This window comes from Homo sapiens, chromosome 6 (assembly GCF_000001405.40).
Source record: "Homo sapiens chromosome 6, GRCh38.p14 Primary Assembly".
Lineage (NCBI taxonomy): Eukaryota > Metazoa > Chordata > Mammalia > Primates > Hominidae > Homo > Homo sapiens.
In genome coordinates, this window is record NC_000006.12 from 5649757 (window position 1) to 5676037 (window position 26281).

Sequence of the window (26281 nt, forward strand, 5' to 3'; positions counted from 1 at the left end):
TGTGATTCTAGAGCCCGTACTCTTATCCGCTAGGCTGTGTAGGATAGACTGATGGGGACCCACAGGCCAAGTTTGGCAGATGTGGTCTAGGGTTGCTCATGAGTTGAAAGCAGTAATTGTTGGTGAGTGAGGCCTAAAAATATCCTTCTCATTGCCTTTTTGATAAAAAGACCCCAGACTTTTTCTGAGAAGGGGCTTCTTAGATTTCCTACAGGTACTTTGATCATTGGGAAAGGTTCAGGTGACAATCGTATTATAGGGCAAGCAAGGGAAAGGGCCCCACTGCCGGACCCATTTTCTTTCCTGTTAGGAAACCTTTCTAACTAAGGTCAGAGGACCGAGCCTGGGGTTTTAAAAGAATTCACGGAGCAAAAGTGCAGGGGCATTCAGGAGGGGGACATGGAATGTGGCACGGTACCAGCAGTAGGCCGAGAGATGTCACCTGAATCTTCAAGGTCTAATGGTAGTTATCCTGGTACCGATGTCAAAGTGGGCCACATTTCTTTTTTTTTTTTTTTTTTTTGAGACAGAGTCTCAAAAGCACCCAAAGAAATGTTCCTTAAAATATATGTACATCATGGAAGAGAGATATATGCACAGAACAAACAGATGCTAACTATATACCTTTTCACATCAGCCATAATTCTGCAAGGCTCATTAATTCAAGGAGATTTACCAAGCACCATTATAATTTAAAAAATTAACCCTCTAACAAATTGCGGCATGGTGAGCTTTGGTGACTTTGTAAAGACATTTTGTAGTAACTTTGTCTGGAGTGCAGAGGTGCGATCTCAGCTCACTGCAAGCTCCCCCTCCTGGGTTCACGCCATTCTCCTGACTCAGCCTCCCGAGTAGCTGGGACTACAGGCACCCGCCACCACGCCCGGCCAATTTTTGTATTTTTAGTAGATGGGGTTTCACCGTGTTAGCCAGGATGGTCTCGATCTCCTCACCTCATGATCCACCTGCCTCAGCCTCCCAAAGTGCTGGGATTACAGGCATGAGCCACCCTGCCTGGCCAAAGTGGGACACATTTCCAATAAACAATTCCTACTGGAAGAGGCCCCACGTTTCCCTGGAGAGGGAGTGTGCTCCAATGGGAAGGGTTGGACTTTAGGATCAGGCTGACCTGATCCTGAGTTCACTTTCTGATTCTTACTGGTTTTGCGAGCTTCCACCAATTATTCACCCTCTTGTGGTACCTCAGCTACTGTACCAGTAAGATGTAGGGTTAATAGACTTTTGATTAAAGATGGCAGATTGAACATAAGCTTTAACCTCAGTTGCCTCTCAATACAGTAATAGTAAAGGGTTTGGTTTTTTCCCTCTCAGGTATAAAGTAATTAGAGACTAAGTGACGGGGAGAGGAGACATCAGCAACATAATTTTGGAAGCTGAAAAGCAGATGGAGAAGTGGAGCAGTTAGGTTTCAGTAGACCCAAGAAAGCTGAAATCCAAGTTGGCAGGGGAACAATCAAGAAGCAATCCAGCTTGAACTACAAAACCCCCCAAAAGATTCAGGAGTTAGTAGTACAAGCTTCCTCTTGAAGTAGGGCTAACACAGGACTGTCGATTGAAAATGTGTTTGAGGAGCAGAACCCTCGATTTTCTCCTCACTGACGTGTAGCAAAAGGACCACTCTGCCAATCACCAACAGGCCTTCATCTTGGTAGAAGTCTGGAGATTTATTCTCTGGAGATGATAAAAGCAAGGTGTTTCCACCAAAACGAGAAGTAAGCTAAGACAAGATCCACGAAGTAAGAGTTGCAACAAAAAAAGCAAGGCAAGAACCATCCCAAAGCCTCAGCTGCGCGGTCATCATCAGAGGGGGATCTGTTCAGACTGGAGCAGAGCTGAAGGCTTCAGGGACACTTCAAGAGGATTAAGTAATTGCAAACCTAATAACAACCATTGCCTCTTCTATTTATTGAGTGTTCATTGTGTGTCAGACACAGTTCTAAGCATGTGTGTATTAACGATTAAATCCTGATAGTAGCCCTATTAGATGGTAGTCATTATCCTCCTTTTATCAGTGAGGGAATTGAGGCACTCAGTGCTTAATCATTAGTCTAAAATGGCATAGCTGGTTAGTGGCAAAACTGAGATTTGAACCCAGGCTGTCCACACTCATAGCCAGCATACCACGCCTCACCCCCTTGACAACAGGAGAAACCAAGCTGATGACAAGTTAACACAGCTGGGAAAGCTGGGGGAAACAGAACGTTGCACAGAGAAGAAGTCATCTTAGTTTACTGTGGAGCTCAGTAGTGACCTGAACAGGTAACAGTGTGAAAGGGGATCTGACAGGAGTCTCCGCATGCCCACATCAGGAAGATCCGGGAGGGGCACAGGCATGGGCAGGAGATGTGAGGCATGAAGGAGCTAAGTGCTTCTCTTCGGTGATACAGAGGCAATGCCTAAAACAAATAACAAACCAGAAGTAGCAAGAAAAATAGCTTGTTTAAAGCTACAGAGAGACCCACCAAAGGAACCAACTAGAAGAGTTGAAAACAGGTCTCCTGTAGGTCGTCTGGGCAGACTGTGGCAGGATAGGGGATGGGGGCTGCTGTCTTTCAGGAAAAGTCCTGAGAATTATTTGACCCTTCGAATCTGTGCAAGTAGAACTTTGATAAAAATAAAAGCGAAACTTTAGAAGGGAATAAATACCTGGTAGTACTGTCATGAAATAAATCTGTTTTATCTTCCTAGGAACTCGGTAAATGTTAGTTTTTCTCTTTCCTTTTTCTTTCAAAGGACAAGTTCCCATCCCAGGCAGAAATGAAGGCCCAGTGCGGCGCAGCCGCTGATGGCTCACCTCTCTCAGAATGGCCCGACTGCCCTTCAGGCCTTCATTTCTCGCTTGCCAACTTCCAGGGAAGGACAGAAAAGCAGGGGATTCTGTTGACAGAGACCTTTGATGAGCGCTTGTTACCGTCCGTGGCCTTGTGGGGTGCCTGGATTGAGGCCCAGCAAATGGCCAGATGTGGGGCATAGCTAATGTGGGTAGAGCACCTCCCGCGGCTGTGGGAAGGGACAGTGACAGTGTCTGACTGCTCCCGAGGCGCTAGCAAAGGTGCCCTCCTGGCTGCAGGTAATGGGGGAGCTGCCCCAGACAGTCTGTAAGGCAGTGATCGTGTCCAGGATCCTAAGAGTTTCCTTTTAGCCACCTCCAACTAGGGCAAGAGGCCAGTATCTTGAAAGGCAGAGTTTGGGGCTTGTGTGTATGCAGGAGAGAGAGACAAAGTGTGTGTATTTATAAAGCATGCCATACGCCGTTTGTTCAGTGCAATATGCCACTTTATTTTTATCTCTTCTTACGTCAAAGATAGGGAAAGCCTATTAATCAGTAAATCTAATCATAAATATATGCATATATATCTACATTAATATCAAGTGTTTATATATTGATAAATTGATTTAAGAACGCTTTTCATTTCTGGCAGAACCTTAGACATTAATGAACCTGAATTCTCTTACTGAAGTATCCTCTTATTATTTTATAGCAGTTCTTCCTACTACAGGGTAATTATGAACCTGATTTTAACAAAAAAGTACACTGATCTACTGTAATCTGCTCAGTAATACAAGTGAGCTTTTCTATGCAAACCCTATTGCTCCAAAAAGAATTGAAGAAAAAATGTTTTACCAATTCAGACCCACAAGTATTTATTGTGCACCTACTACATGGAAGGCGTTGGACCAGCTGCAGTGGGTATAATGACGAGTAAAGCAGGCTCAGCCCTTAGCTTTTTGCATTTTATTTTGAAAAGGAAAATCCTAAGAACTAAGTGACCACAATACAAGTCTGACGAGACTGGTGTATGAGAGGAACAAGCAGGCCCCTCCTGGGGGATCGGAGGGGAAGACATCTCATTTCAGGGATCAGGAAGAGATAGACATGAGTTGAGGGATTTGCACTATTGGAATTATAAAATAACACATCCCCAACCTTCATTCATTGATTCATTTACCCATTCAACAATTGTGAGTGCCTGTTACCTGTCAGATGCTCCTCTGGACCCTGGGGATGCACCAAAGCAAAGCTCACCTTCATGGAGTGCAGGGAAGAGAATAGTGGAGAAGGGCAGGCTGCATCTTCGTGGAGTGCGGGGAAGAGGATAGTGGAGAAGGGCAGGCTGCCTTTCCCTGCTCTGACTCTACCCTGGTTTCTGTGAACATTCAGAAGTTTCCTACGTAATGCTGGGCAGTCCTTGGCAGTCTTGGAGTTTGGCTGGCATGGGTGCTGTGTGTAAGTATAGTATCAGTGGCACCCTGGGTTCTCTGACAGCATCAGGACATCACTAGTAGAGTCAGCAGTGTTTCTCAGAAGCTTCTGCCCTGACCCTTTGACCATGGAATCCCCAGTCACATTAGGGCCCTACGTCCACAGAGGAGCAGCAGGAGCAGAGACCTTCTGTGGAAACCACGGCTGCCCCATCCCAGCCGGGTCATAGGTCAGTGTGGTCTGCTTTAATGGGACATAACATCCTTTCTGGACCACCCTACTTGCCACATCCATGGGTTTCCTCCTGGCAGACTGTGGGGTCGGATGCCTCTTCTCCAATTATCTCTGTTACAGTATTCACTGATAACCATCTTAGAGGGATTAAATCAGAACTTACAAATGTTTTCCTGCAGTTGATGTTTAAAATATTTATTCCAAAAAAAACAAAGATGTTCTCAGCCTGATACATCCTTTGTGGATAATAGCTTGGACTGCATCAAGTGCCTCTGGGGTTAGGATACTGCCCTTCCCCTTAGGTTTAACTGAATGTTCAACAAGGATGAGTGTAACACCGAAAAGCATTAAGACTCGAAGACCTGCTACTCTTCAAGGGTGGATTCCAGGCCTTGGGAAGACTGTGTTAGGGGTATTTACATACTACCTGTGTATGTCGGGAGCCCCATACACCACTGCACCTGAGACCCCTCGGTGGGAGGTTTCAGTATCTATCCTGTCAGGAAGTGGTTCTCTTTTAATTGCAGTTGACCCTTGAACAAGTTTGAACTTCACCGGCCCACTTATACGTGGATTTTCTTCCGCCTCTGCCACCCCTAAGACAGCAAGACCAACCTCTCCTCTTCCTCCTCCTCCTCCTTCTCAGCCTACTCAATGTGAAGATGACAAGGATGAAGACCTTTATGATAATCCATTTCCACTTAGTTAATAGTAAATGTGTATTTTCTTATTTTCTTAGTAACATTTTCTTTTCTCTAGCTTACTTGATTGTAGCAGTATAGTATATAATACATACGACATACAAAATATGTGTTAACCATTTGTGCTGTTGGCAAAGCTCTTGGTCAAAAGTAGGCTATGAGTAGTTAAGTTTCAGGGGAGTCAAAGGTTACATGTGAATTTTTGACTGGGTGAGGGGTTGGTGGCCCCAACTCCCATCCTGTTCGAGGGTCCACCGTATATGCTTTTCTCTCCTTGAGAAAAAATTTCTAGCCAAATTTTGTCTTCCTTAAACTCTATAGAGCTTGAGCTTCCAGCTTGTGGTCTGAGAAACCTCTCTTTCCTTGGTGTTTGAGCAGTAATCCTTTTTAGCATGATTGATTTTTTTTTCATTCCTTTTTGTGTCCAGGATCCCACCTTTCACTGCACTGAGTAGCTGTACAAGTTTCACTGCCCTAACAAATTACCACAAACATAGTGGCTTAAAACAACACACACTGATCATTTTACAGCTGCAGATCAGATGCCTGAAATCAGTTTCACTGGGCTGAAACGGACTTGTTGGCAGGGCTGGCACCTTCTGGAGGCTCTAGGGGAAAATCCGTGGACTTGCCGTTTCCTGCATCTAGCGGTCCCTGCATCCTTTGGCTTGTGGCCCCTTCCTCACATCTCCTCCTCTGACTCTGGCCCTCCTGCCTCCCTCTTATAAGAATTCCTGTGATTATGTTGTGTCCACCCAGACAATACACATCTCCCCATTTCGTGATTCTTAACTTAGGCATGGTTGCACAGTCCTTTTTGCCATGTAAGGCAATATTTTCTCAGGTTCCAGAGAATTGGAGGTAGGTGTCTTTGGAGGATCATTCTTTTACCTACCACAGGTGCTAATTAAACATTTTTAAAACTCAGCTGGTTGTTTCCTTTCCCCATCTCTGTCTCTGAGTATTTATGGACCAGGTTTTCAAAACACATAACTCACTTCCCTGTTATAAAGTAATAAATGTTAGAAAATTTCTCTCAGTTCTTTAAAACAGTTGGGAAATGATTAAATTGTCTTTGCAGTGATTGTGGCTTATTACTCTGAAAACTGGACTTGAACTCCAGGTATGTTGGGTATCATCCTAGGGAACCACTAACACTCTAGAAAAACCAGTATCGCCATTTTTCTTGGAAACTCTCCTTTCATCTCCAAGTACAATGGAAGACAAGGAAGAGGACGGTCCCTGTGTTGTTGCTGTTGCCATCATCTTTGTTGTTGTGGATTCTTGCCTTCTTTATCCCCAACTCCAGAATTCCTATCTGTGCCAACCTGTCACTGGCTTTGCTGTGGAAGCCTTGACCTCCTCTCACACACATCAGCTGTAGCTGGCTCCAATATGTCATCTGCCACACGTAACCTAGAATTGGAAGGTAACCAAGAACTGGAAGTGTAACCAGGTAACCTAGAATTGGAAGTGTTTGTAGAGGAGAGGAAATAAGCTGAGTGAGTAATGTGCTTGAGCTCCAGGGTCCACTTCACTGTTACTTACCTTGTGATTCTTGCCACCCCCCAGAGCACCAGAGCAGTGACATTAAACAAACTCTTGACTCTCAACCATGTTTCTCCTTAACCTTGTTCTTTGTTTTTTTTTTGGAGACAGAGTCTCGCTCTGTCGCCCAAGCTGGAGTGCTGTGGTACAATCTCAGCTCACTGCAACCTCCGCCTCCCGGGTTCAAGAGGTTCTCCTGCCTCAGCCTCCTGAGTAGCTGGGACTACAGGCGCATACTACCACACCCAGCTAATTTTCGTTTTTAGTAGAGACAGGGTTTCACCATGTTGGCCAGGCTGGTCTTGAACTCCTGACCTCAAGTGATCCACCCTCCTCGGCCTCCCAAAGTGCTGGGATTACGGGTGTGAGCCACTGTGTCCGGCCAACCTTGTTCTTTGACACAGGTGTTTTAAGCATACATGTGGTGTGTCCTAATGAGAATGAAAATTGTGTGGGTGGCTAACCATACCGTATATGTCTTAGTGCTCCAGTGAGTATCACTTGAGTGGCTTTTGATCTGTATTTGACAGATACTTTAATAATGTTATACAGATATTTTACAGATACTAAAATATTTTATATTTTACATATCCTTATGTAATGCATATATGTATATACATTGTGTATATATACATATGTATCACAATATGTGAAAATATATATAAAGGCCTTGTGAATTCTTTTCAACTATTATCTCTTTATCCCCTTTTTGTGGGATGTGTATTTAGAAAAAATAATAATAGAAAGTACCCTTTATTATTGTTCAGCTTCCACCCCCCTCACAGTTCAGAAGACTGATCCTTGTATCTTTCAAGCTGGAAGCCTTTATCTAAACGAGGGCCTGTGAGTTTAAATTTCTCTGGACAAACCCAGATGAAAGATGGCTTGTTGAAATGAAGGCATCTCTTCCACTGTGCTGCACTGATTAGATTGACCAATCAAGCTTAGAATAGGAAATGACATGGAAGATCAGATGCGGGAAATCATTGAAATATTTGCCCTCCTGTTACAGGATCACTGAAGTCCACTTATTATGAGACCCAGAGGTTTCCCCTCTGAAGATGCGGGAAGGCAGTGACTATGAAACTGGTCCTGGAAGTCTGTTGTTCTGGCATCCTCTGCCCTGGCTAAATGAGGTTCTGGCTTCAGAGGGGTCTTGGTTTATAAGTGCTCCAGGGAGATGTATATGCATTTAGCTACACAAAACCTGGGCTGCATTAACGGTTCTTAAAAGCAGAGAATATGAAAGGGAGGACAGAGGCATTTTCAAAAATTGATGTTCAATTTTATAACTCTCAGTTTCCAGTAAAACTTTCCGTTATGGTCAGTAGTTTATAAAGGAGCAGTTCTGAGTCATTGTTAAGAGTGGAGGCTCGCAGGCAGATTGCCTAGATTCAAATTTTGGTTCTACCCCTCACCAGCCATGTTGGTTAGAAGGTTACTCAACTTCAATTTCCTCTTCTGTGACATGGGGAATAGTCATAAAAATGCCTTCCTCATAATTGTTGTGAAGATTAGAAATAAGATAACATATTAAAAGCACTTAGATTGGGAGGCCGAGGTGGGCGGATCACCTGAGGTGGGGAATTCAAGACCAGTCTGATGAACATGGAGGAACCCCTTCTCTACTAAAAGTACAAAGTTTGCTGGGCGTGGTGGTGCATGTCTGTAATCCCAGCTACTCAGGAGGCTGAGGCAGGAGAATTGCTTGAACCCGGAAGGTGGAGTTTGTGGTGAGCCGAGATCGTGCCATTGCTCTCCAGCCTGAGCAACAAGAGTGAAACTCTGTCTCAAAAAAAAAAAAAAAAGAGAACTTAGAACAGTGCCTGGCACAAAATAATTGCTCAATATACATTGGTGGTTGTTACTGTTATTAAGTTATTGTTATTACTTAGCAGAGATTGGAAGCATTAACACATAATCTTTCCAAGACTTTTTATCTCCAGTAACTAAACTCCAAAAACATATGGGTACTTCAAGGGGGTGACCACTGAGCTATTCAAATGTACCCTTCTATTCCCAAGAGTACACCAGTGTGCACTCTAATATACACAAGAATACCCTAACTACATAAACTACATTACATGTCTACTCATACATTGCCTCTTTAAGAAATGTATATGGCACAGCATTTTATTGTCATAGCCATGATGGCATTTATGTTTTATAAACTGGAGGGAAGTTATAAGAATTTTTCATCAAAGAACTAATCTTTTCTAGAATTAGATAGATGGTTAGCAAAATGTATGACTGGATTTCTGTCATAGAAATTTTCAAGGAGATGAATTCTAGGAGAAATTAAGCATCTTCCCCCCACCCCAATAACACAAGTTATTGGATAATTTTAAATTTGTGTCAAATGGCTTAATATCCTTTCCACAGACCCTGAAAATACAAACATTTGATATGTGCTCGTATCCAATTTCAAGTTCTGCTTATATTTTATTTGAATTACTGTCTCCTTAGCTGCCAGGCGCCCCAACACGAATGTTGGCCCCTGCGTTTTACAATTGTTCCTGATAGTGCTTTGTTATGTATTGGGAGACTTTGATGCCCAGTGCCCGCGTTGGACTACAGTTGTTCCTTTACCATTCTTAGCAGTACCTCATATGACTTGCGGTATGGAAGGCTTTTCAAAGTCATATGTGTCCCACTGGGATTAGTGCAACTGCTTAAGCCCTGGCTGTCCCCATCTTTTCTCTGCTTGTTCACATGGTTAATTATGGATTCATCAAATGTTAGAGCTGGGAAAAAGATCTTGGAGATCATCTGGTGCTATTTTCTCATTTTCAGTCCAGAGAAACAACGCTTTTCCAGCCAAGTGTAACCCCAGTCGTTAGTGCAAGGGCTTAGTCTAGACTTTGATTCGTTCTGTAACTACATTAAGGGGGATGAGAAGAGAGCTCACGTTCACTCTGCACAAGGACAAATAAAAAAAGGCCCTGCCATCCCTTGAGGAACTCACAGTACAGCGAAGTGACAGTCCGGTGAGCAGATAATTATCTTTAATTCTTAGCCCATTGCTTGCTCCCCTGTACTGGTATGCCTTTGGTATATACTGTTTCAGCTTCTTATCCATCCACATGGTTGTAAAGTGGGGAGCTTTTGTTTTTGATGCCTGTCTCTCCATGTATCCATTCATTTATTTTTCTATCTATAAGTCATTCATCAAAAACCACTTAGGAATGCCTGAGCTATGCTGCACAACAGAGTCACTTAAATGCTACATACCAGTGGAGAAAAATCATGGTTCTTGCCTTCCAGTAATTTATAGTCTAGTTGAAGGATACAAGCATATAAAGAACAAGGTACAAACATGTGTTAAAGGAACTGTAATATAAACATGACAAGGTACATGGCAGACACAGTTTCATCCTGCCTAAATCCTCCTGAGTTGTTCACAGGTATTTCATGTGTTAGTTATTCGAAGGAACTTTACAATGCACCTCCTTCTTTGGGGCATTTACATTTTAAAGTAGGTTGGGAAACCCGCTTTACTACCTTCCTCTCCCTTCCCTCTTTTACTTTCTTTCTTAAGTTCGAGACTGTGTCCCACCTGTGTTATTGCTTAGAGGAGGTGGGCCTAGCCTTGTGCTCCATGATGGAGTTCAAAGAGAATGCCATCCACCAATCTTGCACTCTCTGGCTCACAATCTGCTTGTCCCCTTCGTTGATTAGTTCTTTCTTTCATTCATACATTTGTTTATTCATATGAATGTCCACTGTTTACTAAGCCAGTAGTCACTGTGGAAAGCAAAGGCAGACGTGGCTGATGTTCTCAAAGAGCAATAGTCTAGACTAGAGGGGAAATTAACTTTCATGGAATAATCACACATGTAGATGTGAGTGACAGCTGAAATAAGCATCTGCAACTTGATGCTTTAAGAGCAGTGAGCAGGCTGGGCGCCATGGCTCACAGGCCCGTAATTCCAATACTTTGGGAGACTGAGATTGGAGGATAACTTGGGCCCAGGAATTTGAGACCAGCCTGGGCAATATAGTGAGACCCCCATCTCTACAAAAAATTAAAAAATTGGCTGGGCATGATTGGTGCATGCCTTTAGTCCCAGCTACTTGGGAGGCTGAGGTGGGGGGATCCCCTGAGCCCAGGAGGTCAAGGACTGCAGTGAGGCATAATCACACCACTGCACTCTGGCCCAGACAATAGAGTGAGACCCTGTCTCAGAAAAAAAAAAAAAAAAAAAGTAACAGTGAGCAGTGGAGTCAAGGTTGAGTGTGAGGCCAGGGAGAGAAGAGCATTATTCAAAGCCAAGGAGCTGCCTAAGCAAAGCTCCCTGGCAGGAAAAGAAATCTATGGATCAGAGCTCTGGAAAGAAGGCCAGTGTGGCTGGAAAAGTGGGGGACATGGTGTTGAGGCTGAAACGGGGCTGAGGCCAGACCACACTGGGCCTCTTTGACCATGTAGGGATCTCTCACTTTACCAAGAGCAATAGAAGCCCCTGGAATGTTTTAAGCAAGGAATGTCACACGATCAGATTTGGTTTTCAAAAACATGACTCTGGCTGCTTTGTGGAGGGGGACTGAAAGGGAAGAGTGTGGCTGCAGAACCAGCGGGAGGCTACAGCACAGCTACACAAGCAACAAGTTGTTCCAACTGAGGTTGTGGCGAGGGGATAGAGATAACTCAGCAGATCCCAAAATAAATAAAACCCAAAATTTCTACAGCTTGCTACTTAGTTGAACACGAGGGAAGAGGGATGATGCTGATTATGGAACCAGATGGATGATGCTGCCATTGTTGTTAAGGACACAACTGGTTGAGATTTAGGTTTGAACACGTTTGCCTTGAGGTTTACTGGAGGCACTGAAGTAAACGTGTTGCACAGATAGTTTGAAACAGTCTGGAGCTTACAGGAAACACAGAGACTGGCATATAAATGTGTGAGTGATCTTCATTGAGAATGTATTTGAAACTGAAGTATGGAGAAGGTGGACTAGGAAGCATGGAGTGAGAAGAGCAAGGGGCTTTGCATGAATCTTATGGAACTAGGGCCCTTGGTGGCCAGATAGAGGAGAGCAAATCTGCCTGGAACGTGGGGGAGCCAGGAGTGAGGAAGAGCCAGGGTGTGTGAGTGCTGGAAGCCAGGGTAGTAGGTTTCAAGATGGCAGGAGTAGCCAACATCACTGAAGAGCCAATGACATGATCAACAAAAAGCCATTGCATTTAGCAATAGGGGTCACTGGTGACTGTGGGGAGAAATGATCACTCAGGGGGCCAGAAGCAAGATTAGATAGAGTGGGTTGAAAATGAAGTGGGAGGAGAAGAAATGGAGACAGTAAGTAGACAACTGAAGAAAAGAAGAGAGACAAGGCCATGCTTGGAAAGGTTGTGTGCAGTAAGAGAAGTTTTGTAAAAGTGTAATAAACTTCAGAGTGTGTAAAAGTCAGGAGAAGGATCCAGTAGAGTAGGAGAGGTAACTATATAAGAGAGAGAGACAGAGGAGAGATGTTACAGTGTTCCTCAGAAGGTAAGACATCATGGGACCCCACACTTGGAAGAGGGTGAGCAGGGTTGACCTTAGACTGGACAAAAGGGTATTTTACATTGAATGAAAAAGAAAAGGAAAAATATTTTCTCTTGTTTTGCTTAGATTTCATCTTGGGCTTATATTTGACATGGAACTAGTCCACTGTAATTTTTATGGACTTTTTACCATGGGTTTTCCACCTAACGTATTTTTAAATTCAGAAAGTTGGGGTATTTTCATTCTTTTTTTCTTTGTCAGCTCTTTTATTACAAACTATTCTATTCATTTGTTATATTTTCCCATCCTTGCAGTGCATTGCAGACAATATTATTATTACAGTTCTACATGCATGTTATTACTTTAGTTTTGCAGGGACTTCCCCATGAATAGCAGAATGTAATTTATGAAATCCAACCATCATTCTCAAGGCACCTCTGTGCTATATGTTAAACTCACTAAAACAGCAATGTGGAAATAGTCACCCACACTGCTGACTTCCAGAGCATCAGTCACGTTGCCGCTTGCATTTGGAAGGAGCCTCCCCTGATCCTTCTCTGGATGAAGCCCTGGAGGGAGGCATTACCTACCCAGGCCACTCCTCTTGCTGGCTTCACCGTTTGAACTAACTCAGGGACGGGTGTCTCTAGATCCATCCAAATGTGTATAAAGAGATGAACTTCTACTTTCAGTTAATTATCAAAACTATAATTATCTTAGAAAGTTATGCAAATTAGTCAAGTGTTAAGCCCTTCATCGAGAAGCTAGCAAAGTAGAATTGGTGTGTGCGGTGGTCAAGAGGGAAGATTCTCAGATCAGATCCCCGGGTTTGAACGCTGGTCCTGCTACTTGCTGGCCGTGTGTGACCATGGCAGGTTACAATTTCTTTGTGCCCCAGTTTACTTCACTATAAAGCAGACATAATACTCCCAAGCTCATATGATCATTGTAAGGATTAAATTAGTTTGCATAAAGCTCTTGGAACAATGCCTGATGCATAGTAAGTACTTAATAAATTCTATGATAGCATCTTGGATGCAGTGATGGTGCTTCGGAAGCCTGTTACCTTCTGCTGCCTCCACGTGTTGCAGTTTCATTTGGGAAACACTTATTGTTTTAGTCACATACAACTCTAAAAGGAGGTGATTCTATGTCCAGTTTTTCACAATGTCTAAAATAATATGGTTCACAGTAATAAGATTTTATAGCAGGTGAATGTTTACATTCTCATTTCCCAGATATATAATAATCAGTAGCCACTCCCTTTGCATTAAAAACAAGCCCCCCTGGCTACTGAATGGCTCTTCAATGTAGGGAGTATCTTAGCCAGCTTGGCACAAATAAAACCTCTTTCCTTTTCAGCTGTTTTAAACATTTAGCAGTCAGATCAGATGATTGAACTTTCAAAAAAATTCTTCCCAATATCTGTTTGGATGGAATCATTTGCCGTAAAGATCTGGCATTATTCAAAGCTGCTCTGTGCTCCCTTAATTGAAAAGCCCTGACATTGACATTGGACAGGGCTTGCCTTTGGGGCCACCAGCAGACAGCTTTCTTCAGTGCCTCGTATTGTTAATGACTCAGAGAATGTGTTTCGATGAGATCAGAAGCAATCCACTAAAGAAAAAGTGGAGAGGACTTGAGAGCTTAAAAGAGCGGAGAGGAGAGATGTGAGAAAACCTAAAAAAAGACAAAAGTTGGTGTGGAAGAAGGGGTGGCGCGGGCTCCATGGCAGATTTGTCATTCGTCCCAGTCCAGCTATTTAGAATCATTTTTCCAGTGGGAAGAGAGATGAAGAGAAATCCTGTCCAAAAGAACAAGGAAGATGTCTTTGAAATGATATGAGGGGAGCCAGAGACAGACATGGAGGTGAGCAGGACCAGGTCTTGCTCCTTAGATCTCCAGGGAAGATGTACTCAGCACTACTGTGCGCACCTGGGCTGCACTGGTGTCTTTACTGCAGGCAGAAAGGATGGATGCACGCTGGCCAGGGCCATGGACTGCAGGTGCTTAAGTGGCCCCACAGTAGATGGCTGTGTTCACAGCTCAGATCTGTGGCCCCCCTGGCCTCCTCAGCCCCTCTGAACAGTATCCCACTGTTAGCAGCTCTGCAGTGAAAGTGCAATCTGAACACAAATTAAGTGGCAGCTTTGGGGTTTTAAAGAAAAAGGAAAACTTTTTCATTTTAGAAACAGAAAGCTTAATGTCTCCTGTGTCAGTTCATTCTATGCTCCCTGAAATGGTTTCATCTCTATGCTAATTTTATGCTGAAAATAGGAACTCCCCTGTGCTGGAGAGGAGAGAAAGGGCTTGGAAGTCAAAGACTATCCAAGTGGCTGAGAATCAAGTGGACCCCCTTGACTCATTTCCACTTAGAAAATGCTTTCAAGGCAGCCAGTGTTACACCGAGGGTCCTGCCAGGGGAGCCGAGGCCTTTGCCTGTCACCCTGGGAGCTGGCTTCCAGGCCTTGGGCATGGATCCCTCGCCCAGAGTCTGCTTGGTCTTGCACCAATGATTTCACAGGTTATATCCAGACCTCATGCTTGATAATAAGGTAGTAAGCTGACTTCCCTTGGTTTCCTCCACTTCTGTTTTAAATGAATAATTAATCCATTAAAAGCATCATCTCAAAAGCACAAAATATCCTATAATCTATGACTATAAGTTCTTAGAATAAGAAGTGGACATTGTGTTATGCTTACTTGTAGACTGGTCTGTCTCTCTTAGTAGGACATGAGATGTTGAGGATGGATCTCATCCTAGTCCTAGTCCTTAAGAGCACCAACATGGACGCTTCCTCAGCGTAGGCATATAACTGTGATCTCTGAAGATTCCTATGGGTCTATCATTCAGTAGCTCAAGGGCAGCTGGACGGAGAAGAGATTAGAAGTCTTGTTCCTGCTTCTTAACTTGTTCACAAAGATACTTCATTTTTATTATTTTGGTCCTGCCAGTTCTCTTCATCTGGTTTCCTGTATCCTTTCATATACAGTGATGCTGAGGCATTTTTTCATTTGTTTGTTTTATTTGTTGTTTTAAAGAGAAAAGGGAGTATACTTGTTGCTTCAGGGCAAAACAAAGACCAGTGGGAAGAAAGTTATCAAAGGTTGATTTCAGCTCCTCACAAAGAGCTTTCTAAGGACAGGCTATTTGTGAAGGGACTAAATGTGTTTAAGTAGAGCTGGGCGGTCACATGAGACCATTGTCCTGAGGAAGCTCACCCAAAAACCCCGATGGCCAGGATGTTGACTGATGGCTCACCCTGGAGAGTTGACATCTGGAGCCTCCGCTGACAAGCAGCATGGTCCGCTGGCAGGTGAATAGGGGCCATGGTTCTGCGGGCTCTCTCCAGGGGTGGCTGAGGCTGGCACTCCACAGTGCTGCTAAGCACATGGGTCACAGCTGCAAGAATGCTGGGGTATGCTGACTAGGCAGGTGTGCGGAGGTCACGATGCAGCTCCATCTTCAAAACAGGAAGCATTTCTCGGAGCTGTAGTCTCACAGACTCTAGAGAGATTTGAGAGGAGACTGTCAGAGAGACACAGAGGCCTGGGTGTGTGTGGATGAGGTGATTTCTAACCGGTTGATAATAAGGTAGTAAGCTTTATGTTTCTATCATATTTATTTCCCCCCTCAGATCAGGTTGTCTGAGCCAGAACCACATATCCCAGAGCAGGCATGTTAGTGATCTGGGATAGAGAGAAGGACGTTCTAAACAATGTCTGGAAACATAAGGGGCTGAGATGCATTTAGCCATTTGAAAAGATAATGGAAATTTCTTTCAACTAATTCCTTTGAGGTTTAACTGTATAGTATTGCCTTTTTCATCCTTTCACAAAACAGACCCTGGAAGGACTCAAATTGGTAAGTGAGAAGCCAGTTACTACCAACTACTGGGCAGCTTCTTGGCAGGAGGTGAGAGCTTTCTGCTTCCTTTTTAGGACAATTCCACCCTTCCTTGAGTGGGAGGAGTTGGTGAGGTGGCTGAATGTCATGAGGGTTTGGAGAGGAGGTGGCTGTAATCGCACAGGCACTGGCATTGAAGAGACCCCGGGAAGGGAAGTACCTCTGGCTCCATGGCAGGATCTGGAGGGAGGAAGGGAAGATTCATAGCATAGCAGGTCTAGCGTACCGCACTTGAAAAGACTATGGTATTTATTGGTTCATTGAACTCAACTAAACCCAAAATACTGGGTACCTCATGTGTGCAGTTCTTAGTGCCAGGAATGATGGGCTGTGTAAGGAAGAATCCAGTAACTCCCTCAACTAACTTAGAATATTTATTTCCTAACTAAAAGAAACATAAGTAAGAGTCAACAATATTGTTTGTTTTGCTTTTTATGTAGTGTCAGGCACAGAAATATGCTCAGTAAACACTTGCTGGTTAATGGCCACTGCAGGTCCCTGAATTTGCGTTGAGTTGAAAGAAATGCCACCAACCTGCCCCTCCACTGCCAGGAGTTCAAGTCAGGAGAGCAGCCAGCCTGACTATAGAAGAACTACACAGTGCCTAAAGTTCCAGGAAACCTTCCAGTTGCAAGGAGAGAGAGCAGTGCTATTTTAATAAATAGTACATGATAGTTTTGCTGTATACCAGGCCTACACAGTGCTAGACACTGGAGGCAAAGACAGACAAACAGACAAAATAATTAAAATGTGGTTAAGATCATATCCAAATGTAAATTAGGTCCACCACTGTGGAAAACAGTGTGGCAGTTCCTCAAAGACCTAAAAACAGAACTAACATTTGACCCAGCAATCCCATTGCTGGATATACACCCAAAGGAATATAAATTGTTCTATTATAAAGACACATGCACATGTGTATTCGTTGCTATTCAAAATAGCAAAGACATGGAATCAACCTAAAGGATCATCAATGGTAGACGAGATAAAGAAAATGTGGTACATATGCACCGTGGAATACTATGCAACCATACAAAAGAATGCGATCATGTCCTTTGCAGAAACATGGACAGAGCTGGAGGACATTATCCTTAGCAAACTAACACAGGAAGAGAAAACCGAATATTGAATGTTCTCACGTACAAGTGGGAGCTAAATGTTGCAAACACATGGACACATACTGGGGCCTATCGGAGGGTGGAGGGTGGGAAGAGGGAGAAGATCAGGAAAAATAACTAATGGGTACTAGGCTTAATACCTGGGTGACAATATAATCTGAATACCAAACCCCCATGACACAAGTTTCCCTATATGACAAACTTGCATATGTACCCCTGAACTTAAAATAAAAATTAAAAAATAAAAATAAAGATTAAATTTGGCTGGGCACAGTGGCTCACGCCTGTAATCCCAGCCCTTTGGGGGGCCAAGGTGGGCAGATCACAAGGTCAGGAGTTCGAGACCAGCCTGGCCAATATGGAGAAACCCCATCGCTACTAAAAATACGAAAATTAGCCTGGTGTGGTGGTGCATGCCTAAAGTCCCAGCTGCTCAGGAGGCTGAGGCAGGAGAATCGCTTGAACCCAGGAGGTGGAGGCTGCAATGAGCCGAGATCACGCCACTGCACTCCAGCCTGGGCAACACAGCAAGACACCGTCTCAAGAAAAAAAAAAAAAGATTATATTCTTTGTTGAATATAACAAAGTGAATATAAACAAAATGAAAATTTGGGGGAAAAGTAAAATATCATTTGGCATTAAAGATAACCCCTTAAGAAAATCACTATCAGTACCAAACATGGAGCCATCCAGCCAAACCCATAGAATTCTAGAACATCAGAGCTGGATAAGCCCTTAGAACAATCTGTCCAAATCTGTTATTTTGCAGAGGGGGAAGTGGAGACCCAGCCATGCAAAGGTATTAGCAACAGTTAGTTTACATTTCTTTCTGGCTGCATTTACAGTGGGTAAATACATCTTAACTTTAGTGGGTTGAAAAAGACAGGTGCTATTTCCTCAAACAATATTTTGGCTGCTGGTGATCGACTCTTAGAGCAAGAGAAACACTTTCTAACATCGATGTGGGATTTTGTGTGTGATGTGTGGGTTTCCTGAGCTGCTGAGCTTTTCCACAATCTCCTGCTCTATTACTTCGTAGCCCACTTTCCTTTAATACCCACCGTCAGAGAGGTTCTCTTTACCATTCCTCTGCTCAGCTCCTTCAGAAGTCTGTGTACACCGACAATAAATGGTAGGTCTGAAAACAGATGAGAGGTTTTTAAATTTGAAAACAGATGAGAGGCTTTCTTCCCTCAAGGGATGATGTGGGGTTTAGTAGCTTCAGCTATGTTGAATTTTACTTATAAATGGTGATGACTTGCTTATAATGTGAGGTTTATTTTCTGTTTTATATGTATCTTATAAGCAGCCACATGAGCAAATATTTAATTTATTGTCACTCTTGTACTGTTGGACAGCAGCAGCTCATGTGAATGATACTATACCAATTCAAGCTCGGGAATGACTATTGGACACCCAGCACACTGTTAGGGTTATCTGCGTGTGTCCATGTGATACTGAAATGGCTGGTCCCCTGGTCAAATAGCCAGAGAAACCAGAGGGAAAGTGAATTCCTGAACTTCATTCAATTAAATGAATTGAGGTTTAGATGTTTTTTACTGTTTAATTCAGGCGAAACATTTGTTATTCTTTATGTAGAAACAGCTGAGGCAAAAATGGATGGCTTAGAAGGAATATCCAAGTTTGAATCCAGGTTTTACCTCTTCATTGCTATGTTACCTTGAGCAAGTTTCTTTTTTGTGTGTTTGGGTTTTTTTTTTTTTTTTTTTTTTTTGAGATGGAGTTTGTCTCTTGTTGCCCAGGCTGGAGTGCAATGACGTGATCTCGACTCACTGCAACCTTCGCCTTCTGTGTTCAAGTGATTTTCCTGCCTCAGCTTCCCGAGGAGCTGAGATTACAGGCACCCACCATCACGCCCTGCTAATTTTTTTTGTATTTTTATAGAGACGGGGTTTCACCATGTTGGCCAGGCTGGTCTCGAACTCCTGACCTCAGGCGATGGACCCGCCTTGGCCTCCCAAAGTGCTGGGATTACAGGCATGAGCCACCACACCCAGCCCACGTTGAGCAAGTTTCTTAACTTCTCTAGGCCTCAAGGGCTTTAACCACTTGTAATGATGATAATAGTGCACAGTGCTTTCAAGGTTATATTTTAATAATCAATATAAGGTACCTAGTGCAGTCCCTGAAAAAACAAACAGATGTTAATTCCCTTTCTCCTAAGAAAGTAGTCCTGGAATGGGAAAATAGGAGCCATTCCTTGACACGGAGCAGACGTGTTATCCTGGCCTCCTATGCCATTGCCTTCTGTGGTCAGTACTTGAACATTGTGCCCTCGGATTCCATCAACAGATCCTGAGAAACAGAGAAAGTTGCTCCCGCAGGTCCCATAGTAAGCTTGTTGAGTGTTGTCCATTCCTATCACTCAGCCCACCTCCCCCCACCCCCCCGCTGCCTATAAAACCTTTTGTGGGAAATGTTTTAAAAATTAAGCACCAAGGGTTAGTGTGCCTCAAGATAAGGGTAAATTTGACCTTAAGGGTTTTGTAAGTGACCATTTTTCCTTCACTGTGGCTGGGGAGAGCCACCGTATACGTCAGCCCCCAGGGCTTGCTGTTGTGTTGCTCTTTTCCCTGATCTCAGTAGTCCTGTACTTGCTAATATTTTCGCTCATCATATTGCAGTGTATTAGGAGAGGGCTCTGATGCTGTTCTGTGGTATTATAGGCCCAAGTCAAGAGCTCCCAAATCCTGCCCTGCTAGTCATTTGGCCTCCTGATGGCAAACAGAGGTCCTGAGATTCGGAGAGTGAAGCGGAGTGGCTGCCGGCACCACCTTCTCACCTGCAAGAGCACCCAGAGCCTTGTCCGGAGTTGGGCTTATTGGAGGAGCTGGTGAAGGAGAAGAGGCTGAGTTGGCTTAAGCACCCCTTCTGCCTGCCTCTAACCCCACACCTTCAGATCCCTTTAGCTGCTTGCACAGCTCATGACCTATGAACGGGGGTGGGGAAGAAGTAGGCAGAATGGAGTCTGACATGAGAAAAGTGTCAATAACATCCCATTTCTTGTGTTGATTCTTGATTTCTGTTCATATTCAAACATTATTTTGTTGTATATTTTCTTTCGTAGGCCTCCTTAAAATTCTCGTAGAATGAGGCAAGATATAAACACTTACATAGAAGTTAACAGCAGTGTGTTAATGATATATGCAGCCAAGCATAGGCGCTTATGCCCAGAGTGCGCAAGTATACAGAGGACATTCAGTGGCCAAAGTTGGCTAGAGTTGCTTTGGTCCTTGATCAAGTCCTGTTTAGATTTCTCCACCCAAATAAGTTACATCAATACTGACTAGATAATACATATTCAACAGGCAGTACACCCCCTGATCATTGTGGATATCACAATTCAGGAAATCATTTACTTACTAAACATTTTTACTTACTAAACATTTACTTACTAAACTTTTGTGTCCCCTACTAAACTTTTAGCTTCTAGAGAGTAGAAACCATGTCCTGTTGTTCTTTATGCTTATAGTACTTGGCCCACAACTGATGCACAATGGATCACGAGGGGTGACTAGATAAATGAGAATTTTTTAATGGCAAGATGATTCAGAGCAAATGAAATGTAGAATATCATAATATTTTATAAGGAATGGCATTTTGGGCAAGTTATTACTTGTACGTACTTTTAGAAACAGTCTCTTCCTCTAACCAAATGCTTCTGAGTAGGATCCTGCTTTAATGGATAGAAAAACATGAGTTCTCATTAGTATGCACAGCACTGAAGCCCAGTTACATTTTTTTTTTAAATAAGCACACTTTTTAAGTGCTGCCATGCAGTGTCATCGCTCCAAAAGCTTATCACATTGTTCATTTTCTTAGCAGGCTCAGTTCTACTGATGGTGTAAAGTTTCAACCGGGGCTCTTCATAATTATTACGAATTCTTAAGACTGAAATCAGGTGGCTTTTTATTTTTAGTGTCCTTATTGTGCTCACTCAAGACTATATATTCAGCAGTGTGCAGTCTATGCCTGACTGTATAAAAGACTGGAATGTTCACACACTATAATGAATAATGAGTGTCAGTGAACTCATTACAGTAAATCCTTAGGTAATTACTTTCTGCCTTAGTTGGGGGACTTATGGTAGCATAAGCTAAAATTATTTCATCTCCAGACAAACCCTGAGGTGGCTGTTGGAGTTAAATATAATTCATTTGCAGCATGTTTATTATAGTTAAATTTAACTAATTTAGGGCCTGTTGCTGGCCAGAAGCTGAGGAGGAGGAAGTTGCAGTGTCCATGAGTACCTCAGAAAAATGAGGCTTCATGGCCGAGCTTTCAGAGCATGACGTAAGAGTTACTCCCACTCTGTCTCTGCTCTTCCTGTCCCCAGAGCTGGATGGGTTTGTTCATGAAAGTGATTGGCTAATGAGCTCTTCAGGCATAGGATTAATGTGGTGTAGCAAGAGGAAGTCTCAGCGTTGAGCTGGGGCTCTGCTCAGTTCTCTCCTCTGTTTCTGCCGGAACTTCCTGGTGTTACAGAAAGAACTATGGTGTTCAAGGTCACTGTTGTATGAATGGATTTATCAGCAGATGGTGAGGCTCCCCCTTCTCGTGCCCCATTTCCACTCAACACTGTCGGGCCAGTCTGGGCGTTATTTCTTCCTAAGCCTTCCAGCCTGGAAGACTTAGCTCTGGAAAAAATAGGAAAGGACTTACTCCAAGAACCAAGCACATGTTTACAGAGGATGGTTTAACCTTTAAAGATGTTGCCACTGAAGAGTTTTTAGATTAGATTTTGCCTCATGAGAGCTCTTCTGAGCTGGATGGCTTGCTCTACCAAAGATGTTACAGGGACACCCGCAGGAGAAATCGCATCAACGCGGGGAGGTGAGGCTTCTGAGCCATCGCTTGTGTCTAAGAACATAAGCCAAAAATCACTGTAGGGGGACTGTTCCCCAGAAGACAGGGACCTTGCCAGGAGAGGAAACACAATTCCGATCATCGTGAGGAACGTGCATTTGCGGAAGACATTGTCCTACTTTTCCACAAAAATACCATGTCTCCATTCTGGAAATATGTGCACTGTGCTAATTGCTCAAGAGAAGGTAGCAGTTGGAAAAAGTCCAGAGAAGGATGAGTAGATGAACACAGGAATCAGTCGGTAGCCGTGGGAACAGCAAAGCCCCTTCAGTGGGAAGGCAAGAGTAAAGAGAAGACAGCACTGAAGTCTGTGGAATCTAAAGCGGCTTTGGTGGGGTTTCCTCACCGACCCAAAGTGCAGAGCTAGCAGGGTAGGCACACCCACCCGTGCCTGTGGTGGCCCGCCCTAAGACTCTATCCAGGACAGCCACCTCAGCCTCACTATCCCCTGGCCACGTCCTGGCCGTTCAGTCCCACCGTGACGCAGCTTACAAGCTGCAGAACCGTCTGCCTCTCAAGCCAGTGTTCCTCCCACTGTACCACAGTTGCTTCCGTTGGGTCCAGACTCTTCTGAAAACTCCCCTTTTCAATTTTACTCAAACAGATTTTGGCCATGGAAATGGTTTGTGACTTTAACGGGCAAGCTGTGATATAAAAAGTAAACCATGGGTTACATAACTTCAGGGGCAGGTTAACTTTTCCAGAATTCTGGTCTCAAAGTAAAGATTTAGATTTAGTTGAGGCTATAAAAATTCAGGAAAAAATAATAAAGCATTTCTACACCTCCCTCCTTCCCCTTGCGAGCCCCCCTTAAAAATAGCATCTGAAGTTTCATTGTAGCTGAGTCACTGCTTGGTGCGATCTAGGGCTAGGCTGCAACTGGACCTGTCAGAATGAGGCCACAGTGATTCATGATGAAGCTAAGTTTGGTTGCCACTGACAACATGTGTTCCTCTCTGTTCTTTCCCTGGAGTTTGGAGACACTGTATTTTGCCTTTGGATTAGAAACGCCTTTGAGTGGTGAGAGTAATGGGATGAGATGGGCCACTGCAATTAAAGAGCCCTCTGGGCCCTCTTTCTGTGACACCCTAGCCATTTGTTAGGGGAAGGTAGGAGTAATTAACATAACCAAAGACCTTTGGGGCTGTGAAGGGAATTTATCTCCTCTGCCTTTGCAGTTTAGCATCAAGTCAGTCTACCAACCAAGAGCCCCCCAACACCTTTTCTGGGCCCCAAACTGTGCTTCCCATTGAGGAAAGGCAAATGATAGAATATGCGGTCCCTACCCTGAAGGAATTTGGGGAAGCACAAACCAATTAGAGAAGCACTGTCTACTTCCCACGTTGATTATAATCATGTATGTGTCAGTTTCCACGTTTGCGCCTGGAGGGCAGAAGCCACAGCTGGTTTTGCTGTGCATGGCACCTGTGTTCCTGGAGCTGAAGTGAATGGGTCCTGCCTCCAGCACCTGCTTCCCCACTTCTGCCATCAGAAAGACTCGTTCGGGAAAACATTCCTTCATTCCCTTCCTAGGGCACCACAGTTAATAAGGCCACAAATTTGGGCCTGTCCATCCTGGTGCAAGTATCTGAGGAAGCAAGAAGAGATCCGGGTTAGCAAGGATACGATTACAATGCTTTTATTTTTTTAATGGGACTTGGGCGGTGAGGAAATTCTATGTTCCCCGTCATTTATGCAGACTCCAGCTAAACGTATGCTAGTTGAACTCATGCCAGCTCTGTGGAAGTGAGGGACAGATACAAGAAACATGGGAACTTTCCAAGAAATGAAGCTTCTTTGCTGCCATGTCGATGATGCTTGTTTCTGAGAAACTCAAATGTATGGAAGTGTAGAGTAGAGCTTCCCAAACAGGGTGCCGTAGTTCACAGATTTGCACACAGGGGTGCCAGCATAATGATCTCTGCAGCTCTTGGCACACCTTGGTATGTCTGGAGTATGAGATGGACTTAACATATGAATATACATATAAATATATATAATGTATCTGTACATCTTAGGGACTAGACAAACAAGGTGTTAAATGTGTTCCTCTCTGGATGGTAGGTTTATGGAATCCTTTAATCATTTTACTTATTTGCTTATTTAAACTTCTGAATCTGTAACAATTTATTGTGTGTGTGGAAGAATTCTTTCAGCCCAACCAAATACTAGCCAAAATATTGAAGTGGAAGGTATCAGTGTTCGGTGATCCAGCCAAAGGTTTATGTATATGTTTTATTCAAACACTGTCTTAGAAACCATTTGCCCTGAGGATGTGTCCTCTATTTTGTCAGTTTAAAAAGGATTCTTTTCAGTTAGTGCATTCTCATTAAAAAAAAAAAAAAAAAAAAAGGAAAGAAAAAGAAACAGTAAAGCAGATGTCACATATCAGAGAAATTGCCACATCTTGATAGATTCACACCATTTATTTTCTTTGCCTGTAAGCCTAATACTGGCAACAGCCCAAACTGCCAACTTTCTTCATTTATTGACATTCTTAAAAAGTTAACTTCCTGTCGAGGATGTTTTTGACAGGGATATTAAGAGAAAGACTTGTTGGTCAGATGTAGGTTCCAGCTGGCCACACTGTAAAGGCCACTGGGAATCGGAACCTTGGCAGATCCATGCAGAGGTAATAGTTTGGAAGTTGGGAATTCTTATTTCCCGGCAACTGTAGACAAGGAGCAATGATTTGCTATTTGTATTTTATATCGTATTACATTTGCAAAATGTTTGTGGTCATTCAAATTTGTTTTTTTTCACAGTACTTCTGTGAATGCCTGATTTCTCTTTGCCTAGGCTCTCAGATTCTTGAGGGGGTGGATGGAGGTGTGATATTTGCCTTCTTCTCACATAGGAATGCCTATAACCTAAATGAGATCAATATCATTTCGTTCTTCTGGGAGCAGTACTATTTTTGCCAGTTACCAACATTATAAAATACTTCCATATTTGGAACTGTGGCATTTTGTACTTGGAGGGATTTTTTAAAGAAATTGCCTGGTCTAGTTCCTTCATTATACAAATGAAACCATTGAGACCGAACAGGCAAAGGGAAGTTCTCAGAGTCACAAGAAGTGGTCAGTGGCCAGGCTGAGGCCAGACTGTAGTTTCCTTTTTACTACTGGTCATACTCTGTGCTTTCTACCAATATTTCCCAATTACTATGGGGAATTAATAAAAAATGTTTTTTAATCTGCATTTTTTGGGGGAAAGATAAAAATACAGAGTTTGTCACAACATAGGTGGTCAATAAATATTTGGTGAAGAAGGTGTTTGATAAAGTTGCATATATTTACCTCTTGAGTCAATAAAAATGCGTTATATTTGCAGATAGACACACACACACACACACACACACACACACACACACACACGGTGCTATGTAGTAGCTGGTAACCACATGTGTGCTGTCAGTCCATACAGGGACTTGATTGTCATGTATCCCAGTCTTTGTGGCTCTGTTCAAAGGAAGAAGCTCTGGGGAGGAGTAACAGAGAATTTTAGGAGACAGAGAAAATAGACTTCTTTTCAATGGAAACTTATCAGAATTGTTGAAGTGAGAAAGCCATACACATCTCTATGTGTATTTTGGTATCAGTGTAGTATTGTCTGCAGTAACTCTTTGTTTAGTCATGAAATATGTTACTTGCCATTCCACATGTACCCAATACAGTGTTAAAAAGAGTCCTGTTCAGCTAGGATAAATCACAGAACAAGTATAGTAAGAACATCACCAAGTAATTATACAGTATGTCTTTGAGATTTGTGTCTCCAAGTTTCTGAATATTTCATTTTGAAAGAGTAACTTAGAAAACGTAAAGAGAAGTTCCACAGAAGTGCCTGGGAGAGCTGATCTTTACCAAATTCAGTAAAAATTTCAGAGGTGAATAAAATAAACCTGGACAATTCATAATAACCTACAGAAGACACATCGTTTTCATTGTTTTCCATTGGCTAACATATCCGGTAGGAAGTTAAATTTCACTGTCTTTTGCATAGCACAGAATTTGTTTTCCTAATCACCTTTCCTACATATTGAACAACGTCTCGGTCATAATCATGGCATATGCTGCATTGAACCCAAGGTGAAAATCATTCTTTTTTTTCTCACCTGAGGGAAATTTCACTTTTTTTACTGAATGAAGGAAGCACTTAAAGTATAAATTAAAATA

General features: G+C 43.1%; 1 protein-coding gene and 1 long non-coding RNA gene across 15 annotated transcripts in view, besides 2 other annotated features; one reads left to right on the plus strand and one right to left on the minus strand.

The window, feature by feature from the left end:
• Nucleotides 1-26281, plus strand: part of FARS2 (phenylalanyl-tRNA synthetase 2, mitochondrial) — a 521650-nt gene that overhangs the window by 399823 nt on the left and 95546 nt on the right. Inside the window, exon 7 of one of the 14 annotated variants that reach the window (XM_011514249.3) lies at nucleotides 1333-25377. The exons of the other annotated variants lie outside the window; for them this stretch is intronic. Coding sequence (XP_011512551.1) covers nucleotides 1333-1354 — 22 coding nt within the window. The 3' untranslated portion in view covers nucleotides 1355-25377. Of the gene's footprint in view, nucleotides 1-1332; nucleotides 25378-26281 lie in introns of those variants that run through there. 14 annotated transcript variants of the gene reach the window in all.
• The window catches only part of LOC101927950 (uncharacterized), a 30288-nt gene continuing 19235 nt past the window's right edge, over nucleotides 15229-26281 (minus strand). Inside the window, exons 3-4 of the long non-coding RNA NR_110842.1 lie at nucleotides 18281-18357; nucleotides 15229-15702 (exon numbers count right to left, since the gene is read on the minus strand). This is a non-coding gene — a long non-coding RNA (uncharacterized LOC101927950). The remainder of the gene's footprint in view (nucleotides 15703-18280; nucleotides 18358-26281) is intronic.
• Nucleotides 15461-16660: an enhancer, noted in NCBI's record as "BRD4-independent group 4 enhancer chr6:5665450-5666649 (GRCh37/hg19 assembly coordinates)". NCBI's record gives its function as "activates an origin of replication core promoter dependent on BRD2, P300/CBP, MED14 and CDK7 cofactors, and independent of BRD4, by STARR-seq in HCT116 cells {active_cell/tissue: HCT116}" and the evidence as "EXISTENCE:reporter gene assay evidence [ECO:0000049][PMID:35650434]".
• Nucleotides 22986-23982: an enhancer, noted in NCBI's record as "NANOG-H3K27ac-H3K4me1 hESC enhancer chr6:5672975-5673971 (GRCh37/hg19 assembly coordinates)". NCBI's record gives its function as "activates a minimal SCP1, AML or CMV promoter by ChIP-STARR-seq in naive H9 embryonic stem cells {active_cell/tissue: H9 hESC(naive)}" and the evidence as "EXISTENCE:reporter gene assay evidence [ECO:0000049][PMID:30033119]".